The sequence below is a fragment of the Homo sapiens genome, chromosome 1 (assembly GCF_000001405.40).
Source record: "Homo sapiens chromosome 1, GRCh38.p14 Primary Assembly".
Lineage (NCBI taxonomy): Eukaryota > Metazoa > Chordata > Mammalia > Primates > Hominidae > Homo > Homo sapiens.
In genome coordinates this window covers 202999528-203025685 of record NC_000001.11, presented here as the reverse complement: position 1 = coordinate 203025685, position 26158 = coordinate 202999528, and the positions used below count along the sequence as shown (strand labels likewise).

General features: G+C 42.1%; 1 protein-coding gene and 2 pseudogenes across 19 annotated transcripts in view, besides 8 other annotated features; 1 reads left to right on the top strand and 2 right to left on the bottom strand.

The window, feature by feature from the left end:
• Positions 838–18312, bottom strand: TMEM183A (transmembrane protein 183A). 18 transcript variants are annotated; one of them, NR_146286.2, is made up of 9 exons: positions 18112–18312; positions 17823–17912; positions 16876–17043; positions 10457–10797; positions 9546–9726; positions 7767–7930; positions 7125–7205; positions 4738–4893; positions 838–2831 (listed from the first exon to the last, which is right to left on the bottom strand). NR_146286.2 is itself a non-coding variant. In NM_138391.6 (8 exons), the coding sequence occupies exons 1-8, from the start codon at positions 18218–18220 to the stop codon at positions 2646–2648; spliced, it is 1131 nt and encodes a 376-aa protein (NP_612400.3). In that variant the 5' UTR covers positions 18221–18312; the 3' UTR covers positions 838–2645. The 18 variants fall into 18 exon arrangements, 8 of the variants coding, with proteins under 8 accessions (NP_612400.3, NP_001309886.1, NP_001309885.1 ...); NR_136530.2 differs by having other exon boundaries at positions 10638–10797; NR_146288.2 differs by having other exon boundaries at positions 7125–7185; positions 10638–10797.
• Positions 17413–18185: an enhancer, noted in NCBI's record as "H3K27ac hESC enhancer chr1:202976629-202977401 (GRCh37/hg19 assembly coordinates)". NCBI's record gives its function as "activates a minimal SCP1, AML or CMV promoter by ChIP-STARR-seq in naive H9 embryonic stem cells {active_cell/tissue: H9 hESC(naive)}" and the evidence as "EXISTENCE:reporter gene assay evidence [ECO:0000049][PMID:30033119]".
• Positions 17413–18253: a biological region, named in NCBI's record as "H3K27ac hESC enhancer GRCh37_chr1:202976629-202977401".
• Positions 18004–18253: a silencer, noted in NCBI's record as "silent region_1714". NCBI's record gives its function as "represses an Ori minimal core promoter by ATAC-STARR-seq in GM12878 lymphoblastoid cells {active_cell/tissue: GM12878}" and the evidence as "EXISTENCE:reporter gene assay evidence [ECO:0000049][PMID:35858748]".
• Positions 18186–18960: an enhancer, noted in NCBI's record as "H3K27ac hESC enhancer chr1:202975854-202976628 (GRCh37/hg19 assembly coordinates)". NCBI's record gives its function as "activates a minimal SCP1, AML or CMV promoter by ChIP-STARR-seq in naive H9 embryonic stem cells {active_cell/tissue: H9 hESC(naive)}" and the evidence as "EXISTENCE:reporter gene assay evidence [ECO:0000049][PMID:30033119]".
• The window catches only part of MGAT4FP (MGAT4 family member F, pseudogene), a 20814-nt pseudogene continuing 13076 nt past the window's right edge, over positions 18421–26158 (top strand). Inside the window, exon 1 of the transcript NR_036557.1 lies at positions 18421–18687. The product of NR_036557.1 is annotated as an MGAT4 family member F, pseudogene (transcript). The remainder of the gene's footprint in view (positions 18688–26158) is intronic.
• Positions 18964–19093: an enhancer, noted in NCBI's record as "active region_2339". NCBI's record gives its function as "activates an Ori minimal core promoter by ATAC-STARR-seq in GM12878 lymphoblastoid cells {active_cell/tissue: GM12878}" and the evidence as "EXISTENCE:reporter gene assay evidence [ECO:0000049][PMID:35858748]".
• Positions 19634–19983: a transcriptional cis regulatory region, noted in NCBI's record as "candidate enhancer chr1.10803 targeted for multiplex CRISPR interference". NCBI's record gives its function as "positively regulates TMEM183A gene expression with high confidence in K562 cells {active_cell/tissue: K562}" and the evidence as "EXISTENCE:mutant phenotype evidence [ECO:0000015][PMID:30612741]".
• Positions 19634–20509: a biological region, named in NCBI's record as "CRISPRi-validated cis-regulatory element chr1.10803". NCBI's record gives its function as "regulatory_interactions: TMEM183A".
• Positions 19735–20509: an enhancer, noted in NCBI's record as "NANOG-H3K27ac hESC enhancer chr1:202974305-202975079 (GRCh37/hg19 assembly coordinates)". NCBI's record gives its function as "activates a minimal SCP1, AML or CMV promoter by ChIP-STARR-seq in primed H9 embryonic stem cells {active_cell/tissue: H9 hESC(primed)}" and the evidence as "EXISTENCE:reporter gene assay evidence [ECO:0000049][PMID:30033119]".
• On the bottom strand, positions 25347–25631 carry RPS20P8 (ribosomal protein S20 pseudogene 8; annotated as a pseudogene).

Here is a 26158-nt window from a genome sequence, read left to right as displayed (position 1 = left end):
ATCAGTGACACATACAACCTTCTCTCATTTATCTTCCACCCAATATATTCACCATTTGGCATAATTTCCTTGCGTCTCTTTGAAGACAGGGAAATCTTGAGTAATTCTGATCTGAGGGGTGGGTAAGTGAAGCTAAATCTGTGACCCTTGAACAACAGGGCCTTCAACTGCACAGGGCCAGTTGCATGCAGATTTTCTTCCTTCCCCGCCACCCCTGAGACAGCAAGACTACCCCTCCTCTTCTTACTCGTCAGCCTGCTCAACATGATGACCCACTTAATGAACAGTAAATGTATTTTCTCTTCTTTGATTTTCTTAATAACATTTTCTTTTCTCGAGCTTATTATAATAAGGTATATACTACATATACAAAATGCACATTAATCAACTGTTTATGTTATCAATAAGGCTTCCAGTCAACAGTAGGCTATTAAGTTTTCGGGCAGTCAAAAGTCATAGCAGATTTTCAACTGTGTGAGGGTCTGTGTCCATAACTCTCACAGCGTTCAAGGATCAATTTATGTTGCTTGACAGAGCAAAATCACAGTATATAACCTGTAGTCCAGAAAGTTCTAATTCTTCTTCGGGTGGTCTGGGGTCCTCACCAAAAGGAAATCCCTGAGACACTTCACATCCTGTCACTAATAAAGCATGTATCATGCTAGAAACGGCAACTCAGCCAATGCAGAGGAAGGCTGAAGCCAAGATAACGACTGGTAACACATTTTACCAAATGTTTGTCAATATTATGCTGAGAGAGAGCTGAGGCAGTATCTAGTACTGTATCTGTCACCATACCATGGAATTTGACACAAAAAACTCAGAGCTGAGTCAGAATACAATTATTAAGCCAAATTTATTTCACCCCCTTTTTAAAGGTACTCCTAAGCGGGGAACAATGCACCAAGACACTCCTGCTCCATGGCATCTTTAGTTCAGGCAACCTGGCAGGGACTGTGCTTCTCCCCTCCTGCCTCAAAGAGGCAACTTTTAATTGTAGAGATCTGCAAAGTGCTCATTGTCCTTAGGTTGTCTGTTATCACTCAAATGCCCAAATTCTGTTTTTGACTGACCCAGGCTCACTCTGTGTGAACAGTTTTAATACCACCCTCAACGTGGGATAAGGTTAGCTGTTAGCAGCAAAATTAAGCAGATGCTTTCTAGGAATATTCCTAGGGAAGATGGTAAAAAAAAAAAAACAAAAATGTGAATTTAGCAGTTTGCCTCACAAGATTTTCACTTTTAAAGAATACTGTCTTAATGCCCACCTCCTGGCAATATCCAGGTAATATCCAGCTCACTGGTTAATTTTGGATGGTGGAGGGTGGGAGGAGAGACAAGCAGCAAGGTTTTCTCCTTAGCAAAACAGAAAAACGTGATTCTCTTCTCAGAGTACACCTGAACAATAGGAGTCATCTAAACAACAGGAGGACATAAGCATTTCTGCATGGACGGAAGACCAGGCTTCTGTAGGCACACAGGATGACAGCAGAAGCAGCACAGTACAGGGCAGAGCAAAGTCGCTAAGTGCTTATGGTTCAAGAGGCTGGTTTCAACATGCAATGCATTTTGTTAATGACGTTTTAGCCTAATAAATGCCCTTCTAACAGTTCAAGGAAAGGGTCACTATCCTTCCTGAAATAACTTTCTTGGTTTTACATTTTATTCAGAAATACATATTTAAAAGATCATTTCATCAATCTTCTAAACTTTTTTGGCTGATTAGAATAACATATACCACAATCAATTTTTTACTTACCCTTTTACTTTTTTTTATCTATGTACACTCTGCCTACTCCTTTTTACCACCATCTACCACAAGAAAAATGAGACTCATCTTTTAAACTTATGGTACAACAAAAAGACCTGGGTCAGAATCTTGGCTCTGCATTTACTGGTGTTATAGGTACAGTCACTAATTCCGTTTTCTCAACTATAAAATGGGAATAATATCACCTACTTTGCAAGACTGTGAGAAGTAGAGATACTATGTAAAGTTCCTAGTATAGTACCAAGGGTATAAAGTCATCATCACCATTATCAGCCTCATGCAAAAAAATACCTAAAATCCAAAACTGCCAAAAGAAAATGTATGCAATAAATATCACAAATTATTTTTTAAAAAAGATACACAAGTCAATATGGTAAGATTCTGAAAACCCTGTCACCTGCTTTATTTCTGGAGAAGGGTAAAGGGAGAAGGGAAAATATTCACTTGAATTTGAGGGGCAGCTAAACTGGAAGCAACAATTTCAGGCCTCTAAGGTTCCTCTGATCCATAAGGGAATGCTGAAACTTCCTTGTTTGGAGATTCAAAGAGTTTAATTTTTCCCTACAGCAAGATCAACAATTTTCACTGGGATAAAAGAATAAAGAACAAACTCAATAGCACCAAATGGGGTTTTAACACAGAAAACAGGGCCACTCCTTTTAAATGCAAATTTTTACATTAAAATATGTTTATAAATCATAGTAGTTGTTTTCCCTCTTGATTCAACATTTCTCCCTCCCCTAACAGGAGCCCTAGAACCTGAAGAGCATGTACATTACTAACGAGATATACAATCCAGCCACCCTGTCCAAACTGGAATCTGATTACTAATGGACTACACTCGAGGCTGCCCCCAAGGGATGGGAAGCAGTAACTACGCTCTCAGGGAGAATGGGTACTGAGGATGCCACCAGTCAAAGAGCCGAACGCTGTGCACTGGGTCCAGGATGACTTGCACACCCTGTTCACTGCGCAGTTTCCGACCACCATGGACAGGGGAATCTTGGAACACCAGTCTCACTCGATGATGCCGCATGTCCGTGCTCACATTGATAGTAAACTGAAATGGAAAAGCAAATTCAGTATCCAACTTACACAACCTTGGTTTCCAAGAGCTCACTCTGAAATGAAATAGTCCAGACTAATTTATACTGGCTAGGCCACAAGATTAATCTCTAAATTATAAAACAAACACCTTTTTTTTTTTTTTTTGAGAAAGGACCTCGTTCTGTTGCCCAGGCTGTAGTGCAGTGATGTGATCTCGGCTCACTGCAACCTCCGCCTCCTGGGATCAAACGATTCTTGTGCCTCAGCCTCCCAAGTAGCTAGGAATATAGGCGTGCACCACCATGACCGGCTAATTTTTGTATTTTTAGTAGAGACAGGGTTTTGCCATGTTGGCCAGGCTGGTCTCAAACTCCTGACCTCAAGTGATCTGCCCACCTCGGCCTCCCAAAGTGCTGGGATTACAGGCATGAGCCACCACGCCCAGCCAACCTTTAAAGATATAAAAAATTAAGGAGAATTTTATAAGGCCTTCTCAGCTTCACGTTTAAACTATGCTAAAGAAAGCCTCCCTAATGAGCACTTTGGGAGGCTAAGGCAGGCAGATTGTCTGAGGTTAGGAGTTTGAGACCAGCCTGAGCAAACCCCATTTCTACCAAAAATACAAAAATTAGCTGGGTGTGGTGGCAGGCACCTGTAATCCCAGATAGCTACTTGGGAAGCGGAGGCAGGAGAATCACTTGAAACCAGGAGACAGAGGTTGCAGGGAGCCGAGACTGCGCACCACGGCACTCCAGCATGGACTACAGAGCGAGACTCCATCTCAAAAAAAACAAAACAAAACTGTATATATGACACAATCTCAATTATACAAAATTATTTGAGAGAGAGAGAGTACATACATATTAACAGACACATTAAGAGAACAGTTCCCAAAAGATTAATTGCAGTTACAGGATAGTGGAAGTCTAAGTCACCTTTACTTTGTCAGTATATTTATGTATTATTTGAAGTCATTTACCATTTTAAAAAAGCTACTTTCATTGTGGAAGGGGAACCTCATGTATTTCTGAATGTAAGCCTAAGATACAGAGAAGACAAATTACATGAACTCTCCAGTTGCCAAGCCAATGAAAAATTTTTAAAACCTGGAAAAATATGCCAGAGGCACATACGTTGTTTACTAATTACTGGCCAAGCCTTGAACAGTGATAATATCACACAAAGGACAGAGCTGAGCTGGTCACCCTGTATTTTAATATCCCATTTGTAACCCCATATGCATGCCTCAAGGTCCTGACATACAGTGCCCATGTATATATCTCATCATTCTTCCTAATAGGATAATGTTTCTCAATCATTAATCATCACTACACATGAAAATGCAAAAACATTCCCTTTCCTACAAAGAAGGAAACAAGGTAAAATACTCTCAGATATAATTAATGTCTCCACAAATCTGTCTGTTGCTAATATACAGGACTGAGTTCAAACTTTTTTTTTGAAAAAAGATACCTTCCTTCATGGTTAAATTTACAAATATCCTTCAAACCTCAGATATAGCAAAAATCTATAAAAAAGCTGAATGCAGTGGCTCACACTTATAATCTCAGCACTTGAGAGGCCGACGTGGAAGAACTGCTTGAGGCTAGGAGTCTGAGACAAGCCTCAGCAACGCTGTGAGACACCCATTGCAACAAAAAATAAAAATTAGCTAGGGGTGGTGGTGCACACCTGTAGTCCTAACTACTTGGGAGGCTGAAGCAAGAGGATAGCTTAAGCCCAGGAGTTTTGAGGTTGCAATGAGTGATGATTCCATCACTGCACTTCAGCCTGAGTGACAGAGTGAGACCACGTCTCTTAAAAAAAAAAAAAAAAAAAAGAGCTGCGGTTCACCTCCTTTCAGAATGAAAAAAAAAAAAAAAAAGGAGCTGAGAATGACATCCTGAGTCCCCACTTACCAGAGTAAATATCATTCCCATGACAATCGGAATAAAGATGAAATTGAGGGTGGTGACCTGCAGTAGGCAGCAGTCCTGGTCTGGATTGGTATGAACATCTTCGTACTGAACGGGAGGCTGCAATCCTCCTGTACACTTGCTCTTTAACCTAGGGGACTGAAGAGAACTGAGAATTAATCCAATGGCTTAGAAGAAACATTATATGGCTCTAAGAGTCCACCAAAGAAAATCCTATGGCTCAACTAAAGCTAGTGAGATACACTTTTATCTTCTCTCTTTATACATGTTTCTATACAGAGATCAAAGAAAACCTACCCTTTGAAAGAAGGGTAAATACATTTGGATGAGCAAATGTGGCAATGGGTTTATGCTTCGTTTAGATGGTATTCCTTGCCATCTGACAAGAAATGGAAACTTACAGCCTCTACCAGAGGTTCTACAATGTTTGAAAGACTGCAAATTCCTTGTAACTTGTCAGACTCCAAAGAACATCTGCTGCACAAAAGGGATGGAAGCAGAAGTGGCCACCTAATTCCAGACACCATAAAATAAAGGAATCACAAGTCTCGGAACTAAAGGAAAATCTCGGCATTCACTTTCCTGCAGTAATCCTAGTGTCTGCTTCTAGTCACATTTCACCACTAAGACTGCCTCTCAATCCCTTCTCAGAAAGGTGGACTTTCTACCAGTGTCTAATGGATATCACAGACTGTGCAGATCTTATTAAATGCAAGATATCAGAACTAAAATTCTTCCCCAGAACCATGTTTTTGAAATAAATCAATAGGAAAATAAGGTTTACTTTAATTACAAACTTATCTGTAACCCACCTGCCATCACGTGAGAATAATTCATAGTATTTGTGTCTCATCAGTGAGATACTAAGTAGAGGAGACAAGTGAAAACATCTCCCTCCCCACCCCATCCCCGCACCCCCCACCCCACCCCATTCCATGTGTTTTCACCTGTCTCCTCTGTAATGAGTTTATGGGTTTTATATGCATAGTGAGAGAGAAACCCATAAACCTATTGCCATATCTGCTCATAATTCCACATAAGAATATAGGGTGATCATAATTACACCTAATAATACAGGTGTCCTTTGAGTAATACTGTCACTGTTCAAGGCTTGGACAGTAATCAGATTAGTAAACAATATATGTGCCTCTGGCATAATTTTTCCAGGTTTTAAAAAATTTTCATTGGCTTTGCAACTGGAGAGTTCATGTAATTTGTCTTCTCTGTCTCTTAGGCTTACGTTCAGAAATACATGAGGCTCCTCCTTCCACAATGAAAGCTTTTTTTAATGGTAAATAAGCTTAAATAATATATAAATATATTGACAAAGTAAAGGTGACTTAAGACTTCCACTATCCTGTAACTGCAATTAATCTTTTGGGAACTATTCTCTTAATATGTTCTCTTAACATTTATACTTCAATCTTAAATAATTCAGCATACACTTACATATAACCACATTATCATTATCACCCATAAGAAAATTAACAATTATTTCATCTTATCCATAGCACATTCTGATTTCCTAAATTGCCTCAAAATGTCTTTTATAGCTTTGTTCTCTTATCCAGGATCCACTCAAGATTTACTCTTTGCAGTAGGTTGTTATCCTTGTCTTTCAATACAGCATAGTTCCTCTTACCTTTTGTTTTCATGGCACTTCGGATTGAGTATCCCTTATCCAAAACGCTTGGGGCCAGAAGTGTTTCCCATTTTTTCAGATTTTGGAATATTTGCATTATACCAGTTGAGCATCTGAAATCCACAAACCCAAAATCCAAAATGCTCCAATAGGCATTTCCTTTGAGCATCATGTTGCCACTCAGAAAGTTCCAGATTATGAGGCATTTCAGATTTTGGATTTTTAGGCTGTACACTGTTTTAGTAAGGCAATTTCATGCCTAGTGTTATGATTTGAATGTTTGTGTCTCCTCCAAAATTCATGTGGACACTTAATCTCCAACACAATAGTATTAAGAGGTAGGGCCTTTTTAGGAGGTGACCTACTGGGGAGGCCCTCCCTCATGAATGGGATTAAGGCCTTTATAAGAGGGTCTTCACACTAGGCTCAGCCCCTTTTGGCATTCCACCTTCCACCATGTGAGGACAAAGTGTTCCTCCCCTCTGAAGGATGCAATCAGACACCATCTTGGAAGCAAAGGGACCAGGCCCTCACCAAACATCAAACCTGCAAGTACCTTGATCTTGGACTTCCCAGCCTCCAGAACTGTTAAGAAATAAAGTTCGTTCTTTTTAAGTTACCCAGAATCTGTGGTACTGTTATAGCAACACAAACAGACTAAGAAAGATATCTAGGGAAATCTCTTAGAACAAGGTATTATCTGAAAAACAAAGAGAAGACCACGTACCTGTTTTTTGAACTTGAAGTTGAATTCCCACATTGGTTCCTGTCTGTTCCCAACAATCTTTCTGCACCAGAAAAGTAAGCACTATAAGAAAGTAAAAATAAAATAAACCAAGAAAAAGAAAAAGAAAAAAATCAAAATACACTACAACCAAAATAATCACCAAAAACCTTTCTGTTTGACAGCTCTAAAGCCAGCCACGGTCCCAATGCTGAGATTTTACTTTGGCACAGATAGACCCCCAAGTTGACACTGGTGCAACATAAAAACGGACAATCCCAGGGCTGTTCAATAAGGACAGGAGGGACCAATATAAGTCAACCTCAGAGGCTACTGACATCAACTCCTATTGTCTTATCTTCAAAGACAGAAACATGGTATCTAGAGACTGGAGCATCCTCTCTGATTCAGCAGGCTAATCCTCTACATTAAAATGTAAGGAGAGCCAGCAGCCACCAGGCAAGATGATACAAGGCCATAAGGTAGGCAGAGAGGGCTGGCCCTATAATAGAAGCAAACTGCTCAGGACCTTCTGGGAGCAGACAGCCAGTAAGGAAACTACAGAGCTAGGCTGAATTCTGTCTAGAATAAGCCCCTCAGTGAAAGTCAGGCTACAGCTAGGGTTAAGCACAAGAAGTGAAGTACCTCCCAGGGGATAAGGGGTGGGTCGTCCGCCGTGCCAGCTGTCCTGCCCTTCAGACATGCCCTGTACGTCCTGCTGTTCCATCAAAATTAATGGGCTTGGCTTTAAGGGGAAAACACTTCTGCTGCCATCACAACGGCTCCAGTGTCCCACACAAGCTATGCTACTGAAAAGAGAGAGAGGGGGAATCAAATACGAAAAGCTAGAGTCCAGAAACATGGGACAACTTCCTTTAGGCATGCTGGCAACTCCCTGAATGCCACGCAATCATGGGTATACAAGTGGCAAGGCCATGCACGGGATATCTGCCACTGCAGGCCCCATACCCTCTTCAGAAGATCTCTAACAAGGCACAAAAGCAGCAGCCAGATGGCCTGGGCTTACTATCTGGATTAAGACCTTAGTTTTCATTCTACTTTGGCTTTTTACAGTCCACTTTAAAAAAATTAATAGACAATGATAAGAATATGAAGATAGGGGTATTTTAGAATTTAGGCAGTAGCACTTGCATTGTGCACTGGAGCCGCTAAGATGTGTCAAGCATGAGGAGTTTGCCCAATGCTGCTCTGCCCCCAGCAATTGATTCACTCCTGGCATGGCTAACTTTGGGATGATCCCCATGCTCACCACAGTTAATCTGATACTATCAAATGTTTTGGGGGAAAGGGACACTGTAAATGTGAGAAGATACACTGTCCACTCATATTACAAGCAGAAGCAGCTGCTGGGTGAAATTCTACTCTCCCGGCATTCTACTCCTTCTCTAAATCCACCAGTTAGCATGATATTAAATTGAGCTCAGCCAACAGCCCTGACCACCTCAGTTTACAAGGCTGGGGGGAACCTCGATAATCTCGAAATCAAAAGTACCCTTTTAATTAATATGTATTAGGTAGGATATGATCACCCTAGAGCTAAACTAGGGGAGAAGAATCATTATATAATGTGCAATACCATAAAAACAAACTACAAGAGAATGGGAAATGCTATGGAACATCAGATTTGGGGTAGGAACAGAGTAACCTTGTTTGCCAAAGGTGATTTAGTAATTTCATCAGGTAGGAGAAAAAGAGAGAATGGACCAAAGGCTAGTAGACATATTTACAAATCAGAAGAATGACAGAAACTTGAATATAAATATGTGAATATAAAATATCAGGGAAATCCTGAGATAAAAAGAGCCTAGAACACAGAAAGAACTTGAGAGAACTAAGGTTTATGAATCAGGGTACCTTATAGTCTATGAGATGACCTACCAGAGCCGGGCAATAGCCTGGCACAGGGCACTTCCAAATGCTACAGAAGTCAAGTCTACACCAGAATCCTTAAGGAGGTCAACAATAAAGGGGAATCCCTGATGTCAAGGTTGCATTAGAAAGAGAAAAATAGTGAGATGTTCATGTTATACCTCTGTACTGTGATTTAAAGCCCCTCTTAAAAATTACAGCATACGTCTACCATTTGAGTTATGCTCTTCCTAGCCCAAACCATCAAAACCATTATATCTAGAGTGGTCCAATGTACAATGTATGCAAATACATTAAAATAAAAAGAATAAGGAATACACTAAAAGCACCAGAAAGCTTTAAGGTAAGATAAGCCAGCCAGCACAGCAGAAAGGTCTTGGAGAAGTGAAATCTCTGAGCCCTGAAGTTTACATTAGTCCCCTAGCAGCCTGGGACCTACACCCCTCCCCATCAAGGAAGCTGGAGACAAGCCATGATAACAGGCCTACCATACAAGAGTTCATTAGTCAAACCCCAACACAAATTCTCACTTACTTTGGAATTCTTTAATGTGCTGGGGGTGCTTTCTGGAATGGCTGGATTCTTGGAGATTCGAGCAGCAAATGGCTCATACATATGGTACAGAGATCGGATCACACAAGCCCGGAGACAGCGCAGCTTCTCCATTGACTCTGGTCGCAGACGCAAAGGCAGGGAAGCATCCAGCGTGTAGTGCCTGAAACATGACACATTACTCCTACCAATATGTGACCTGTCTCTCCTGCTCTAGGTCAGTTTTCTAAGACTCCTGGTCTCTGTATGAACTTTACTGCACTATTCCACTGGCCAGTAGATAGCCTGTCCCCAGTGCTACTTGACCTCTTGGCGACTTTTACGTCTTTGCCTTGTAATCCGGCAGTTCTCCATCCATTTTTAAAGTTGAAGTCCTCACTTTTTCACTGAACAAAAGAGCAAACTCTGAATTGGTATCGGTATATTATGCTTTAGCTGCTCAAAAAGAACCTGTCCTGGAGGAACCTATACTGGCGAAGAGCCACCAGGTTCTCCAGTCAGATCTCACAGTGAGTTCTCCACTCCTTTCTACTTCAACATTCCTTCCCACCACAGCCTGACAGTTTACAATTGTCACTACACTTCCATACCTAGCATCAAAAACTAGCCCTTTTACTAATCATATAATTTGCCTACTCCTCACCACTACAACTATACATAAGGCTGCATAAATACAAAAACTGTGTAATACTTAAAGACAACTAGCAAATCTAAGCAACACCTAATCCAGCTGGAAAGATGAGCAGATAGGCATCTGTAGCTTTAAACATTCTAGCTAAAATAAGCCTCTGAAGAAAAGTCAAAGACTCTTCTATCTGGGACTTGAAGCAAGACGTTTTGCTGAAAGTGGATACTGGAGTGGGGAAGGAGGCAACCACACGGAAGACAATTACCTGGATAATTAATAATATCAAATTTAAATTAGAGAGGGGCTCAAGGAGTCCAAAGCTGGGTCATGCCCAGACATGGAGTAGAGAAAGTGAAAAGAGGTCACCATCCAGTGAGTAGCTCCAAATCACAAACAGTAATGAAATCAGCCACACAGATAAAAGAGTGAGCTCTCTGTGGTCGCACCTTCGGTACAACCTGGTCCAAAAGGCAGCAGTGCAAGTGACAGTCCAGGCATTCTTACAAATCAGGGAAAAATTCACAATGTCCTCAGGACGGATATAGGAGGCCAGCAATAGCCAAATATCCATGGGATACTCTTCTCCTCCAGCCCCGTCCAGTTCTTCTGAAACAAAAAAAAGAATAATCTCTGATCTTCTACACCATATCTAAAGATACTCGATAATTTCATTTCTCCCAAGGATTGATTGCACAGTTAAGAAAATGGTTTTAAATAGGTCCAAGGAAACCCCTCAAACTTATCATTTCCTGCTCATCCTAGCTGCTGGAAACTTTTACCTCCTGTTGCCCAAGTAAATAGGTTTTGTTCTTAAGGCCTTTATTTAACAACTATTGGCGATACCATTTTGAAGTTTAACTTTTTTTTTTTGGGACAGAGTCTCACTCTGTTGCCCAGGCTGGAATGCAGTGGTGCCCAGGCTAGAATGCAGTGGTGCAATCTCAGCTCAATACAACCTCCGCCTCCTGGTTTCAAGCAATTCTCATGCCTCAGCCACCAGAGTAGCTAGGACTACAGGCACACTCCACCGCACCCAGCAAATTTTTGTATTTTTAGTAGGGATGGGGTTTCACCATGTTGACCAGGCTGGTCTCGAACTCCTGGCCTCAAGTGATCCACCCGCCTTGGCCTCCCAAAGTGCTGGGATTACTGGCGTGAGCCACTGCACCTGACCATCATTTTGAAGTTTCAAAAGTGCCTTTGCACACGTTGTATCATTCAACTCTAATAATTCTTCAATGGAATAAGAAAAATATTATTGCGCCCATTTTACTAATAAGAAAACAAAACCTTGCCACTCAGTCAAGGGAAATAGAACCAAGAGTTTCCGACTCCGAATTCCAGCTTTATGCTATTAAGCCCTGCTCATGGTTTAAGTCTCCACCCACTAAACATTTTCAGTCAGGAAAAAAAACAAAATTGACTTTAAGATGGTATAGGCAGGCCGGGCGTAGTGGCTCACGCCTGTAATCCCAGCACTTTGGGAGGCCAAGGCAGGCAGATCACGAGGTCAAGAGATCGAGACCATCCTGGCCAACATGGTGAAACTCCATCTCTACTAAAAATACAAAAATTAGCTGGGCGTGGTGGCACGTGCCTGTAATCCAGCTACGTGGGAGGCTGAGGCAGGAGAATCGCTTGAACCAGGAGGTGGAGGTTGCAGTGAGCTGAGATGGCACTTAGGCCGGGCACGGTGGCTCACGCCTGTAATCCCAACACTTTGGGAGGCCGAGGTGGGCGAATCGCGAGGTCAGGAGATCGAGAGCAACCTGGCTAACACACTGAAACCCCTTCTCTACTAAAAAATACAAAAAAATTAGCCGGGCGTGGTGGCAGCTGCCTGTAGTTCCAGCTACTTGGGAGGCTGAGGCAGGAGAATGGCGTGAACCCAGGAGGCGGAGCTTGCAGTGAGCCGAGATAGCGCCACTGCACTCCAGCCTGGGCGACAGAGTGAAACTCTATCTCAAAAAAAAAAAAAAGTGTCCCTATCTCTTCCTTCTTCAGAACTCATTAGCATTAATTCTCCAGAACTCATTAGCATTAATTCTCTTGACCTTGATGTCCACTATACTTCTCAGGTTCAGGTAATACACATGCTTTGTAAAGATACCTGAATCTGAGCTAATCCTAACCTTAACCCTTATTTCAAACCTAGTCATAGAACTATCCTAAAATGACCAGCTTTCTTCCTTCCTGGGGAAAAAGCCCCTACACCATCTCCCCAAAGTTGCCCCCGCTTTTCTAGCTAACTGCTTCCTACAGCTCTATGATTAGATCAGGTTATTTGGTTAGGTTCTTCACAACAGAGACCCAATATGTCTAAAACATCATCATCTTTTCTAATTCTTATCCTTCTTATAATCTCCAGTAATCATGCAAGACACAGTCTACCATGTCTAGGCCCCACTTTCTCCCACATTACCTCTTCTCTCTTTGAAAGAGAAGGCAAACGACTATTAAAATTTCCTCTATTGTGGCTGAGTGCAGTGGCTCATGCCTGTAATCTCAACGCTTTGGGAGGCCAAGGTGGGAGGATGGCTTGAGCCCAGGAGTTCGAGATCGGCTTGGGCAACACAGTCTCTACAAAAAACTTAAAAATTAGCCAGCCATGGTGGTGCATGCCTGTAGTCTCTGCTACTCAGGAGGCTGAGGTGCAAGGATCAATCAAGCCCAGGATGTCGAGGCTGCGGTGAGCCATGACTGCACCACTGCAATCCAGCCTGGGCAACAGAGTGAGTCCCTGTCTCAAAACACCGAAACAAAAACCAAAAAAACAAACAAAAATTTCCTCTACTGAGACCCATAAGGACTTTTACAAAGCAGAGTGCTATTACAAATTTTCTGTCTTTAGAAACAAAATTTAGTAAATAATGAAGAATTGTCAGTGTTTTATACATAATTATTAAGAGCTTTCAAAACGAAGGAAATAGAATCAGTAAATGAAAGCTTCATGGAGATAAATCATGAAGGACATGAAGAATTTTGATAGGCATAGGTTAAGAGGAAAAGCATGTCAAGTAAGTGCTAACATGAAACCAAGGGACTCAGAAAAGCAAAACATGTGAGAACAGTAAACAGAAAAGTCTAACAAGATTTTAATAACATTGAGAAATTACTGTTAAAGTCTTTTAGATGTGATAATGGTATTTTTAAAAAGATAACTACTAAAATATTTACAAAGATGATGGTATATCTGGAAATTGTTTCAAAATAACCGTGTGTGTGTGTGTGTGTGTGTGTGTGTGTGTGTGTGTGTGTGATGGAGTGGGGAGTAATGGTTGAAGTAAAAATGGCCGTTTCAAAATAACCGTGTGTGTGTGTGTGTGTGTGTGTGTGTGTGTGTGTGATGGAGTGGGGGGTAATGGTTGAAGTAAAAATGGCCGTGAGTTGACAGCATATAAAAACAAAATGTTAATTAAAAAAAGAAAGAGAAAAAAAACTTTTTAATAGCCATGAGTTGATCATTGTTGAAGCAGGGAATAGTTATATGGAGTTATAATCAGACTATTCTCTCTTCTTCTACATGTTTCATTAAAAAAAAGGCTTTTAAAAAAAGAAGAAAAATACATTATACCTGCTGAAACAATAAAATAAAAAGAAATTTAAAAAGAAAAAAAAAAAAAAAGACCAGTCTGATGGAATGGAGAAACCTAATGGAGGTAAAGTAGAATAAGGAAGTAAAATATGAATTATGGTTAAGTGCCTGTAAGCCATAAATCATGTATCTGATAAGTGACTAGTAATCTGAATAGATAAAGAAGTCTTACAATTCAATAATAAAAAGATAGCCGGGTGCGGTGGCTCACACCTGTAAACCCAACACTTTGGGAGGCCGAGGCAGGTGGATCACCGGAGGTCTGGAGTTCGAGACCAGCCTGACCAATATGGAGAAATCCCATCTCTATTAAAAATTACAAAAAATTAGCTGTGCGTGGTGGTGCATGCCTGTAATCCCAGCTACTCGGGAGGCTGAGGTAGGAGAATCGCTTGAACCCGGGAGGCAGAGGTTGCAGTGAGCCGAAATCACGACATTGCACTCCAGCCTGGTCAACAAGAGTGAAACTCCATCTCAAAAAATAAAAAAATAATAAGAAGAAGATAACCCAATTTAAAAATGGGCAAATATCATTAGCCATCAGGGAAATGCAAATCAAAACCACAAGGAGATAGATACCAATCCACATCCATTATAATTTTAAAAGTCAGACAATAACAAGTGTTGATAAGGATGTAGAGAAACTGGAACTCTTATACACTGCTGGTGGAAATATAAAACGATGCACACACTTTGGAAAACAGTTTGGCAATTCCTCCAAAAGTTAAACATAGAGTTTCTGTATAATCCAGCAATTTCACTCCTATCTAACCAAAACTAAAAAAACCTATGTCCACAGAAAAACTTGTCCATGAATGTTCACAGCAGCATTATTCATAGCAGCCAAATAAAAAGGAATAAAAAAGAATGAGATACTGATACATGCATAGTATGGATGAACCTTGAAAACATTATGCTAAATGAAAGAAGCTACATGCAAAAGACTATATATTGTATGATTCCATTTACATGAAATGTCAGAATAGGTAAGTCTGTAGAGACAGAAAGTAGATTAGTGGTTTCCAAGGGCTGGAGGAGGGTTTGGAATGAGAAGGGATGCTAATAAGTATGGGGTTTCTTTTTAGAGTAATGGAAATGTTCTAAACTTAGACCATGTTGATGGTTGCACAACTCTGTGAATATGCTAAAACCACTGAATTGTACACTTTAAAGGAATAAATTTTATCTCAATTTTTTGTTTTAAGTCAAAGCCATTCTGTGGAACAAGTCCAAAACAACAAGAAGATAAATCCCTAATAGAATGGTGATAAGTAGCGATTTCAAGTGAAAAATTAAGGACAAAGAAGTATGAAGAATGTCAATACTGGTTGAGTATCCCTTATCAGAAATGCTCAGGACCAGTGGTGTTTCAGATTTTGGCTTTTCCCGCATTTTGGAATATCTTGACCGTACTTATTGGTCGAGCAGCCCTAATCGAAAATCAGAAATCCAAAGTGCTCCAATAAGCATTTCCTTTCAGCATCATGTCATTGCTCCAAAAATTTCAAATTTTGGAGCTTTTCAGATTTGGAATGCTCGACCTGTTTTAATTTTGGGATCCTGAAAAAGAGGGATATGACTAACAATAACTAGAATAATTCCAAAGCAATCATACCATTAATTTCATTAACTTATTACTTCAATATACTTTAACAAATAAAAATATCTATTATCTGATTCTCAGGTACAGGTGAAAGTGCTGGTAAATCTGAGACCAAAAATACATACATCATTTACTATTATTTTTTTCTTTTTTTTTTTGAGACAGAGTCTTGCTCTGTCACCAGGCTGGAGATGTGGTGGTGCAATGCAATCTCGGCTCACTGCTACCTTCGCCTCCCAGGTTCAAGCGATTCTCCTGCCTCAGCCTCCCTGGTAGCTGGGACTACAGGTGCACACCACCACGCCCAGCTAATTTTTGTATTTTTAGTAAAGACAGGGTTTCACCATAATGGCCAGGATGGTCTCGAACTCCTGACCTTGTGATCTGCCCACCTCAGCCTCCCAAAGTGTTGGGATTACAAGCGTGAGCCACCATGCCTGGCCTCACCATTATTTATCGGCTTTCACCTAAACGTAGCTGATCATCAGAACCACTTTAGCTTTAAAAATTCTGGGCTAAGCATGGTAGCTTATGCCTGTAATCTCAGCACTTTGGGAGGCCAAGGTGGGTGGACTGCTTGAGCCCAGGAGCTCAAATCTAGCCTAGGCAACATAGTGAGACCCCTGTCTCTACAAAAAATAGAAAAAATTAGCAGGCATGATGGCATAGCACCTGTAGTCCCAGCTACTCAAAAGGCTAAGATGGGGGGATCGCTTAAGCCTGGGAAGTCAAGGCTGCAGTGTGCCATGATCTTTCCACTACACTCCAGCCCAGGCAAGAGACCAAAACCCTGTCTCAAAAAAATAAATAAATAAAAATTCTGAGTTCCACCCCAAGAGATTCTGACTCATTAAGTCTGAAGGAAAACCCAGAATCTGAATGATGGTTTGGCACGTTATATTATCATCAGTTTATTATTCTTTGTTTCATTTGTGTACATTTCATTGCCATTAGGATATAAAAAAATCACCTACTTTTCTATTTCCCACAATACTTATTAGACATAAAGCAGACATTACTAATTGCAGAGCACTTAAAAGCCCACGATAATGTCTATGTTTGTGTGTAACAAAACTAGTTAACGTAAAATCCACATACTTTGGAAAACATTTTTTGGTTACATCTCTGCTTCCTTACACATTCAGAAATCCAGAAATGCAAAGGCCTTTTATTTTCACATTGCCTTATGGGTTTTTACCTGATAATAACATGTTCTCAATGAAGGGCTACTAGAGTCCAGTTCACAGCTCCAGAACTCTACTAACACGTACTAATCTCTTTCCCTCTCGAATTCAGACAAAAGAAAAAAGAAAGCCCAGGTGTATTAAATCCCGGCCCACTACCAAGGTTCTTAGGGAGAGCCAAGTTTTCTTTAAACTCTCCTGGTATCACGTCTTATATCTCCTCCTGTGCTACTGGGAAAGTAACATCTTCAATTTGTCACCACAGGCAGGTCTAATAAACCAAAAGAGAACAAGCTCCATACCTTTGTGTCTCTTGCTTTTCTTTTTTCTGGAGACAGTTCTCTCATGGATGCTTTCCTCCTGGGCATCCATCTCATCACTGCTGTCGATGATGTCACAGGGCTCACCAGCCCCAGAAAGAGCTTCCTCTGCAGGAACCTGAGAGGCTTCCAAGCCACAAAGAGATTTTACTAGAAGAAAATAAAAGGAGAATGAGATGGCACACAGCTCCACCCAGAAATACAAACAACTTAGCCAAGGTATCAGCATCCATTCAGGAAAGGGGGGAAAAAAAACATCGTTGAGAGAGAAAGGTGAGAATCTGTCACCAAAAAAAATAAAGATTTTAGTATTTTAAATACAAAAAAAAAAAAAAAAAAGGAAAGCAATGGGCAAACTGACTCCAAAGTTGCAGAAACTCCTTTTTTCAGCCCTGAAGAAAAAAGGTGTGTACAATTTTTCCACTATAAACCCTGCAGGATAAAAGCTGATTTGTATTCTCATAAGGTCTACAGAGAAATGTTTGAGACAAATTGAATCCAATTTAATCCTGGTCCTGAGCTGGAGGCAGTAGGTGTCATAAAACACAAGTCTCAGACCCATGAGTAAACAGACTGAAAGCAAGAGAAACACCAGAAAAGGAAAAGAACACTCCAAGGTTATTAAACAAGGAAGCAAACTGCAGAGTAAAACATGTGAACTACAGCAAAGAGATTAATAACCAAGAAGAATGCAGTGGAAACTAAAAAGTATGCAAACATGTTTTTAAATGCAAAGAAAGAAAGAAAATATTTCTGCTACAGAAACTGCTACTCTTGACTAATCCTCCTCCACCCCAATATGTAAGTTAACACTAACGAAAGCAAACACGGTTACAGGAAGACGACTAAAGGACTGCAAGAAAAACAGAAATAAAATACCTAGTTCTGTCTTCGCGGCATGAGTCTTTAAAGGCTCGCGCAAAGCTTACCTTCCTGCTGAACAGCGTTGGCTACGGCTTTCTTGACTCGTCCAGACCTCACGACCGCCGGATCCGAGTTGGCGTAATCCGCCACGGTCACTGCAACACAGCACCAACCCTCAAGGAAGAGGCCTTCTCTCGTCAGCGTCTTCCCCGCCAACACCTCCTCCTCGCTGCAGGCCCCCGGACCGAGCCGCCCTCCAGCCGCGGGCACGCGAGCGCTCACCTCGGCACGGTCCAGCCCCCTCCCAGCCGCCAGCCCCCAAAATGTTTCAGCGCCCCTGCCCCCCTCGCCCACCTCGGCCGGAGCAGGCGTCGTGGGCCCGGAACTTGAGTCGCTTTCCTCTCTTGGGCATGGCGACCGTATCGGGGCGAGGCCTGCCTAGCGGGCCGGGCCCCCGGGCCATGTCTCCGGCCGGAGAGCCGGCCCCGGGAGCCGCAAGCCAGCTCCGCCCGGCTCCGCGGCCATCCCACACCGGAGGCCGCTAACTCTCGCGAGAACATAGGTCCGGGTTCCGAGTCGCGTTGTCGGACGACGCCTCTCCACGCGAACCAATCATCGCCAGGTGCAAGGATACGTCATCATCCGGCACCCGCGAATCAAGCTGGGTCCGGGTTCCAGGTGGAGAGAGAGCTGTTGTACTGGGTGGTGTCGCGTATCGCCGTACCTCGTGTGAGATGAATGGTGTCTCAGAACCATAGCCCACACCTGTGTTGATTAGAATTGAGAGTTTACATCCTGGTCTCCGGGATTCTTCTTAGTAACTCCTCTGTCCACACTCCAGGTCCACTTCAGCACCAAAATGCATATACACTGTCATCTTCGTGCTCTATCTCGGACCACAGAGACTGAGCGCCTGCTAGTCTAACATAGGTCTGTAAGAGTCTTCACTCTATTTTACGAAAGCTATAAATAAATTTCTGAATTCTCAAAATAGGAGAAGGAGTTCTTAAAAGCTTCCAATCGGCCGGGCGCGGTGGCTCACGCCCCTAATCCCAGTACTTTGGAAGGCCGAGGCGGGCGGATCACGAGGTCAGGAGATCGAGACCATCCTGGCTAACACGGTGAAACCCCGTCTCTACTAAAAATACAAAATATTAGCCGGGCGTGGTGGCGGGCGCCTGTAGTCCCAGCTACTCGGGAGGCTGAGGCGGAAGAATGGCATGAACCCGGGAGGCGGAGCTTGCAGTGAGCTGAGATCGGGTCACTGCACTCCAGCCTGGGCGACAGAGCAAGACTCCGTCTCAAAAAAAAAAAAGTTTCCAATCTATCACCATATAAGGTTAGCCGAGAGAAAGGACGAAAGAGAGACCCAAGGTCAGCCGAGGAAGTTTATTAACCTGACGGCTGCTCCACCACAGACAGAGGAGGCACCCCTGAGCTTACAAAATGAGGGGTTTATATGGGGGAGAGAGACCCTGGGGTTGTTTGCTGGTTAATTTTGCCACATATTAGCTTGTGACGTTTATTACAGGAGGGTGTAGGTAAAGTTTGTTTATGCTTCCCATCACCTTCCCCTGTGCGGTCCGGATGATTTGTAATTGGGGTTTGTTTATTGCAGCAAGGTCTGATAAGTGAAGTCTGCTGGCTTCATAAGGACTTAGAAGTGTAAAGAGGCTTGGGGGAAGGAGAAGAGTTGCAGAGCATTAGGGGGAGGAGTGAGCAGCACGGAGAGGTTTGGGGGAAGTGTCGGCAGTACCAAGAAGCTTTTTGGGGCAGTTTGTTCCTAACACACCATACCTCCAAAAAACTACTAGAAGCATCCATGAAAAACTATCGCAGAGGCAGGAAGGTCACTTGAGTCCAGGAGGTCAAGGCTGCAGTGGGCCATGATTGCGCCACTGCACTCCAGCCTGGGCTACAGAGCGATACCCTGCCTCAAAAAAAAAAAAAGGAGAAAAAGAAAAAATAACGTCTTTCCTTTGTATTGAGACAGAAGCGAGTCACTGAGTGAAGATTACAGAACTGTAAGGGAGCAGGACCCTGGGCTAGTATTATCAGGCCTCTGAGCCCAAGCCACGCCACCGCATCCCTGGTGACTTGCACGTGTACGCCCAGATGGCCTGAAGTAACTGAAGAATCACAAAAGTGAAAATGCCCTGCCCCGCCTTAACTGATGACATTCCACCACAAAAGAAGTGAAAATGGCCAGTCCTTCCTTAAGTGATGACATTACCTTGTGAAAGTCCTTTTCCTGGCTCAAAAAGCTCCCCCACTGAGCACCTTGCGACCCCCACTCCTGCCCACCAGAGAACAAATCCCCTTTGACTGCAATTTTCCTTTATCTACCCAAATCCTATAAAACGGCCCCACCCTTATCTCCCTTCACTGACTCTCTTTTCCGACTCAGCCCGCCTGCACCCAGGTGATTAAGAGCTTTATTGCTCACACAAAGCCTGTTTGGTGGTCTCTTCACACAGACGCGCATGAAAAGTAAATAAATAAATAAATTAAAAAAAAAAGAAAAGTATCACCGCGACACATAAGAAGTTATTTGGTTTCCTAAGTTATTCTCCTTTATCCTTCTAACTTCCTTGCAGCTCCTAAAAGGTGATAATCCCTGGCTTGGGAAACTTAGGACCCAGGCATCCAATCCGCTGGATCTACCAGAGAGTATCTTATTTTCAGTCTAACGAGCTGGCACCAAGTTTGTTAGGAGAAAAACCTCAGGCCTTTTACTAACATTATGTAACAGACTACCACCAGGGATCTTGCTAATAGGCTTGAATCAATTAGGAATTAAAATTGAAGCTGAAGAGAATTGATTACAATTATGAAATATTCAAATTTAATTTATCTAAAGTTACAACATGAAACAAATGTCTAATAAGCTGTTAACAAAAGAAAATTCTTTCAAATAAGGTTTCTATTTATATGTAATTCATGTTTGTAGTCCAGTTCAAAATGCAGATGGTAAGTGCTGAGGCTTCTCATTTCACAACGTTATCAATAAAAAATTCATGGCCGGGTATGGTGGCTCACGCTTGTAATCCCAGCACCTAGGGAGGTGGAGGCGGGAGAATACTTGAGCTCAGGAGTTTGAGACCTGCCTGGGCAACAAGACCCCATTCTCCACAAAAAGGTAAAAAAAAAAAAAGACCAAAAAAAGTGTAATAAAAATTTCACAAGGTTCACATAGATGTAGATTTCTACTCATGTGGCACCCTGTTGAAAACACTCAGGCATTCAGATTCTGGAGGAAATCAAAGTTACAAGAAACATAAACCCTATTACAATGTCACTATAAAAAACTTGGGTTTTAACAAGAATGTTGTCTCATTTTTCAGCAGTATAATTACTATTTTAATGCATTGGATGAAAGAAATGCTAGTTCCCAAAACTGTTTATTTCTTTTTTTTTTTTTTTGAGACGGAGTCTCACTCTGTCACCCAGGCTGGAGTGCAGTGGCACGATCTCAGCTCACTGCAACCTCCGCCTCCCGGATTCAAGCAATTCTCCTGCCTCAGCCTCCCGAGTAGCTGGGATTACAGGCATGTGCCACCACACCTGGCTAATTTTTTTGTATTTTTAGTACAGACGGGGTTTCACCAAATTGGCCAGGCTGGTCTTGAACTCCTAACCTTGTGATCCACCCACCTCGACCTCCCAAAGTGCTGGGATTACAGGCGTGAGCCACCGCGCCCGGCCTCAAAACTGTTTATTTCATCTTTCAAAATTTCTAGACTGAGAAGATTTTAAGCAAATCCTCTGAGACTCTTAAGTCCTTGGGCCAATATAGTGGAACAAATGATCCTACTCTTTCATTCCACCTTTTATTAAAAAGCAACAATTTTTAATTAATAGCACTGTTAATCTCCAGACCAGAAGATACAAGTTCTTGCTAGGAAGACAAGTAAAAGTTACTAAAATTGTTATTATGTTTAAATGCAAGTGGCTTAACCTAGCTATTAGGAAGAAAGTGAAAGGAAAATGTTGTTTTCAAATATTTTCCTCAGAAAAGTGGGAAATTCAAGGACAGCAGATAAATATATACAGCATTCGAATGCTATATTTCTAGATTATGTCCACCCTACTTTTTTGGTATTAAACTGTCCTTTAGACCCGGCACGGTGGCACACACCTGTACTCCCAGCACTTTGGGAGGCCGAGGAGGGTGCATTACAAGGCCAGGAGTTCAAGATCAGCCTGGCCAACATGGTAAAACCCTGTTTCTACTAAAAAACAAACAAACAAAAACAAAAATTAGCCGGGCATGGTGGCGGGTGACTGTAGTCCCAACTACTTGGGAGGATAGCTTGAACCCAGGAGGCGAAGGTTGCAGTGAGCCGAGATCGCACCACTGCACTCCAGCCTGGGCGACAGAGCGAGACTCCATCTCAAAAAAAAAAAAAAGGTTGTTATTTATTTTGCACTAATAGTAAATGCTCACAGGAGGTGTTTGCTTTTTAAGGTTCCTTTATCTTGAAAACTTAAAGATGGCAAATCTATGTTGGTTGTCATAATTTTCTTTCAAATTTTAATAGCCTGTGAAACCCTAAAGCCTGGGAATCATTGCTTTGGAGGTATTGGAAAAGTATCCCTTCGGTTTGAATAAATAAATACATGACAGTGGGATTTCCTACTGAAGGCAGTTTAGTATAAAAAAGCAATATTTTGAAAGTAGTCAAGAGTGCAGCTTGTGAAGTCAGACTTGCTTGCATTCAAAACTTCCCTCTGCCATTTATTATCTGTGTGACCTTGGAAAAGTTACTTAACCTCTCTGAACCTCAGTTTCCTTGCCTGTAAATTTCAGATAATAAAAACACCTGCTTCACTGGGTTGTTGAAATAATTAATTGAATTAACCCATAAAAAGCATTAAAAATAGCACATAGTAAGCCTCTCAGCTATTATTATAGTGGTGAAAAAGTTGTGGTAGTTGTTATTTGAAAACACCTTAGGTGACTGATTCCTTTTTGCTTCTACTGCATTAGGACAGAATACATAGAGTCAGAAGGAAGGCAACCCATTCCAGTTTATTAAAATGCTAAGACTAGTTAGTACCTAACATACAAGTGGCAGGGTTAGAATTCAGACTATCTCCAAAGTTCATATATTAAAAAAACACTGTTCACTTTGGGAGGCCAAGGCAGGTGGATGATTGAGGTCAGTAGTTCGAGACCACCCTGGCCAACATGGTAAAACCCCATCTCTACTAAAAATACGAAAAAAAAAAAATTAGTCAGGCATGCTGGGACATGTCTGTAGTCCCAGCCACTCGGGAGGCTGAGGCAGGAAAAAACACTGTCTTGGCCAGGTGCAGTGGCTCCCAGCACTTTGGGTGGTAGAGATGGGAGGATCACTTGATGCCAGAAGTTCGATACCAGCCTGGTCACCATAGTGAGACACCATCTCTGTTAAATAAATAAATAAGAATAAGAAATAAAAATAAAAACCACTGTCTTATACTGCCTCTAAGATTAAAAGAGTCATACTGAACTTTTGCCTTTGATTAATATTAGTAGTCTAAGTGTAAGTTCCTCTGAGCTGGCCACACCATGGTCAAGGCATTGTGACATTCTCCCACCCTTGTGATAATGTACTTTGTGATATTCCCTATCCTTGTGAATGTGCTTTGTAACGCTCCTGCCCGCCCTTGTGACAATACAGTCTCCCCCTCCGCCTTGTGAACGTACTTTGTAACATTCCTCCCTGCCCTTGTGACAATGCGTCCTCTCTGCCCTTGTGAATGTACTTTGTAACATCCTCCCCGCCCTTGAGAATGTACTTTGTAACATCCATCCTTTGCCCACAAAAATTGCTCCTAACTCCACGGCCTATCCCAAACTTATAAGAACCAATGATAATCCCACCACACTTCGCTGACTCCTTTCTCGGACTCAGCCCACTTGCACCCAAGTGAATAAACAGCCTTGTTGCTCACACTAAGCCTGCTCAGGTGGTCTCTTATACAGATGCGTGTAACAGTTAGTACACGTGGAGTCAAACTAAGAGAAAACCTGTAACAGAAAACAAACTGAAAGCGTACTTAAACAATGAATTTCTATGATGTGCTAAAGCTGTGGAAAAGATCTGAGAAGAATCTGATTCATAAGAAGAATGCAGTGAGCCAAGATCGCGCCACTGCACTCCAGCCTGGTGACAGAGTGAGACTCCATCTCAAAAAAAAAAAAAAAAACAAAAAAAAAACAGCTGTGGCACTAGAAAAACTGCATTTATTGCATTTATTAAATCTAGGGAAAATTGCTTGTGATTAACTTTACCCACCTTATTTAAAATATAGTATATTGATGCCGAGCGCGGTGGCTCACGCCTGTAATCCTGGCACTCTGGGAGGCCGAGGCCGGCAGATCACCTGAGGTCAGGAGTTCAAGACCGGCCTGGCCATCATGGTGAAACCCCATCTCTACTAAAAATACAAAAATCAGCCGGGCATTGTAGCCGGCATCTGTAGTCCCAGCCACTTGGGAGGCTGAGGCATGAGAATCACTTGAGCCCAGGAGATCGCACCACTGCACCCCAGCCTGGGTGACAGACTGAGACTGTCTCAAAAGCAAAAAATAAAATACAATATAGTATATGGCCAGGTGTGGTGGCTTACACCTGTAATCCCAATACTTTGGGAGGCCGAGGCAGGAGGATTGCTTGAGGCCAGGAGTTTGAGACCAGCCTGGTCAACATAGTGAGACCTCATCTCTATTTTATAAAATAAATTTTAAAAATAAAATATAGTATATGATACAAATAGTTCAATTCACATAGTTCTCAGTGGTTTTCAGTTAAAAATAATAGTAACAAATAGAGTAGCCTAGCGTTGGGAAGCTCAGGCTCTAGAGGCAGATGTTCTCAGTTTCAATCACTGTTCTTCTCTTAATAGCTACATAACCTGGAGCAGATTACTTAATCTCACAAAAATTCAGTTTCCTTATCTATAAGATGAGCTTCATAATGATTCCCAATTCATAGAGTTGCTTTAAGGATTAAATGAGATAATACAATATATGGAAAGCTCTTAGCTCAGCACCTGGCACATAATAAGCACTCAATAAAGGTGGGCTGCACTTAAAACTAGAAGCATATTCATTTGAATCAGTAGCTCTCAGCCATGACTGCACAATGGACTCCCTCCCTGGTGGTGGCATTTTATAAAGTACTAGTGACCTGGCCCTACACCCAAAGTTTCATATTCAATCAGTCTGAGGTGTAGCCTGGGCACTCGCATTATTTTAAAACAATCCCTAGAGGGCCAGGCTGGTGGGCCACACCTGTAGTTCCAGCTACTCTGGAGGCTGAGGAGGGAGGATCCTTCAAGACCAGGAGTTATTCTCTTAAAAACAAACAAAAATAATCCCCAGATGACTTTAATGTTCCGTCCAAATATTGAGAACACAGGTTTAGATCAAGGGCCAGCAAACCAGAGGCTGCAGGCCAAATCTGACCCCTACATATTTTTTGTAAATAAAGTTTTATTGAAATACTCCTACCTATTTATGTATTATCTGTGGCTACTTTTTTTCTTTTTTAACCAACTGATAATCACTTAAAGAAAATTGATTAATCCTGTGCAGAGGTGACTTCAACAGCTGGCTCAATACTGATGAAAGTAATCAATTTAGCAATTCAGAAGTTCTGTGTCAGTCAGTGAGTCGCTTGTGGATTCTTATGGGGATTTATCTTGGATTCTTACAAGTCTTAAACAAACTTCACCACAGGAGTTTTTCTCTTAGTGATTCTTAGAATCTTGGTAGGGATCTAAAATGGTCCTTTCACTTTGAGATTATTTTCCTTTGCACTTTTGATCAAGTCAGCACACATCTTCTCCAGGGATGTCAGGTTGCAGCTAGTTAGGGTAATTTTATTTTCAGAGACAGGGTCTCGCTCTGTCGCCCAGGCTGGAGTTCAGTGGCGCGATATCAGCTCACTGCAGCCTCGACCTCCTGGGCTCAAGAGATCCTCCCACCTCAGCCCCCCAAGTAGCTGGGACCACAGGTGCGCACCACCACGCCCGAATAAATTTTGTATTTTTTGTAGAGAAAGAGTCTCTCTATATTGTCCAGGCTAGTCTTGAACATGGGCTCAAGTGATCCACCACCTGCCTTGGCCTTCCGAAATGCTGGGACTACAAACGTGAGCCACCGCGCCTGGCCGGTTAGGGTAATTCTAATTCAGTGAATTAACTTGTGGTTCCAGGGATGTCTTTCTCATGTTGTTAAAAGCTGCGTCTGTGGCATGATTTCCTCTGGAGAGTGAACAGCGGCGAGTCAGTTGCAGGAGCGGGTGGACCAGAGTTCCGGTACAGCTGGGACCAGGTCTTCCTCAAAGAGCTATCTGTGGCTCCTTTCACTCTACAAGGCGTAATAATGACAAAGACCGAATGATCCTCA

Excerpts from the sequence above, each read along its gene's own strand:
- TMEM183A (NM_138391.6), bottom strand. The coding sequence starts at position 18,220 with ATGGCCCGGGGGCCCGGCCCGCTAGGCAGGCCTCGCCCCGATACGGTC. Across the intron at positions 17,913-18,111 it reads CGACGCCTGCTCCGGCCGAG|TGACCGTGGCGGATTACGCC; the intron begins GTGGGCGAGGGG and ends GCTGTGTTGCAG. Across the intron at positions 4,894-7,124 it reads ACTTCAAGTTCAAAAAACAG|TCCCCTAGGTTAAAGAGCAA; the intron begins GTACGTGGTCTT and ends AGTTCTCTTCAG.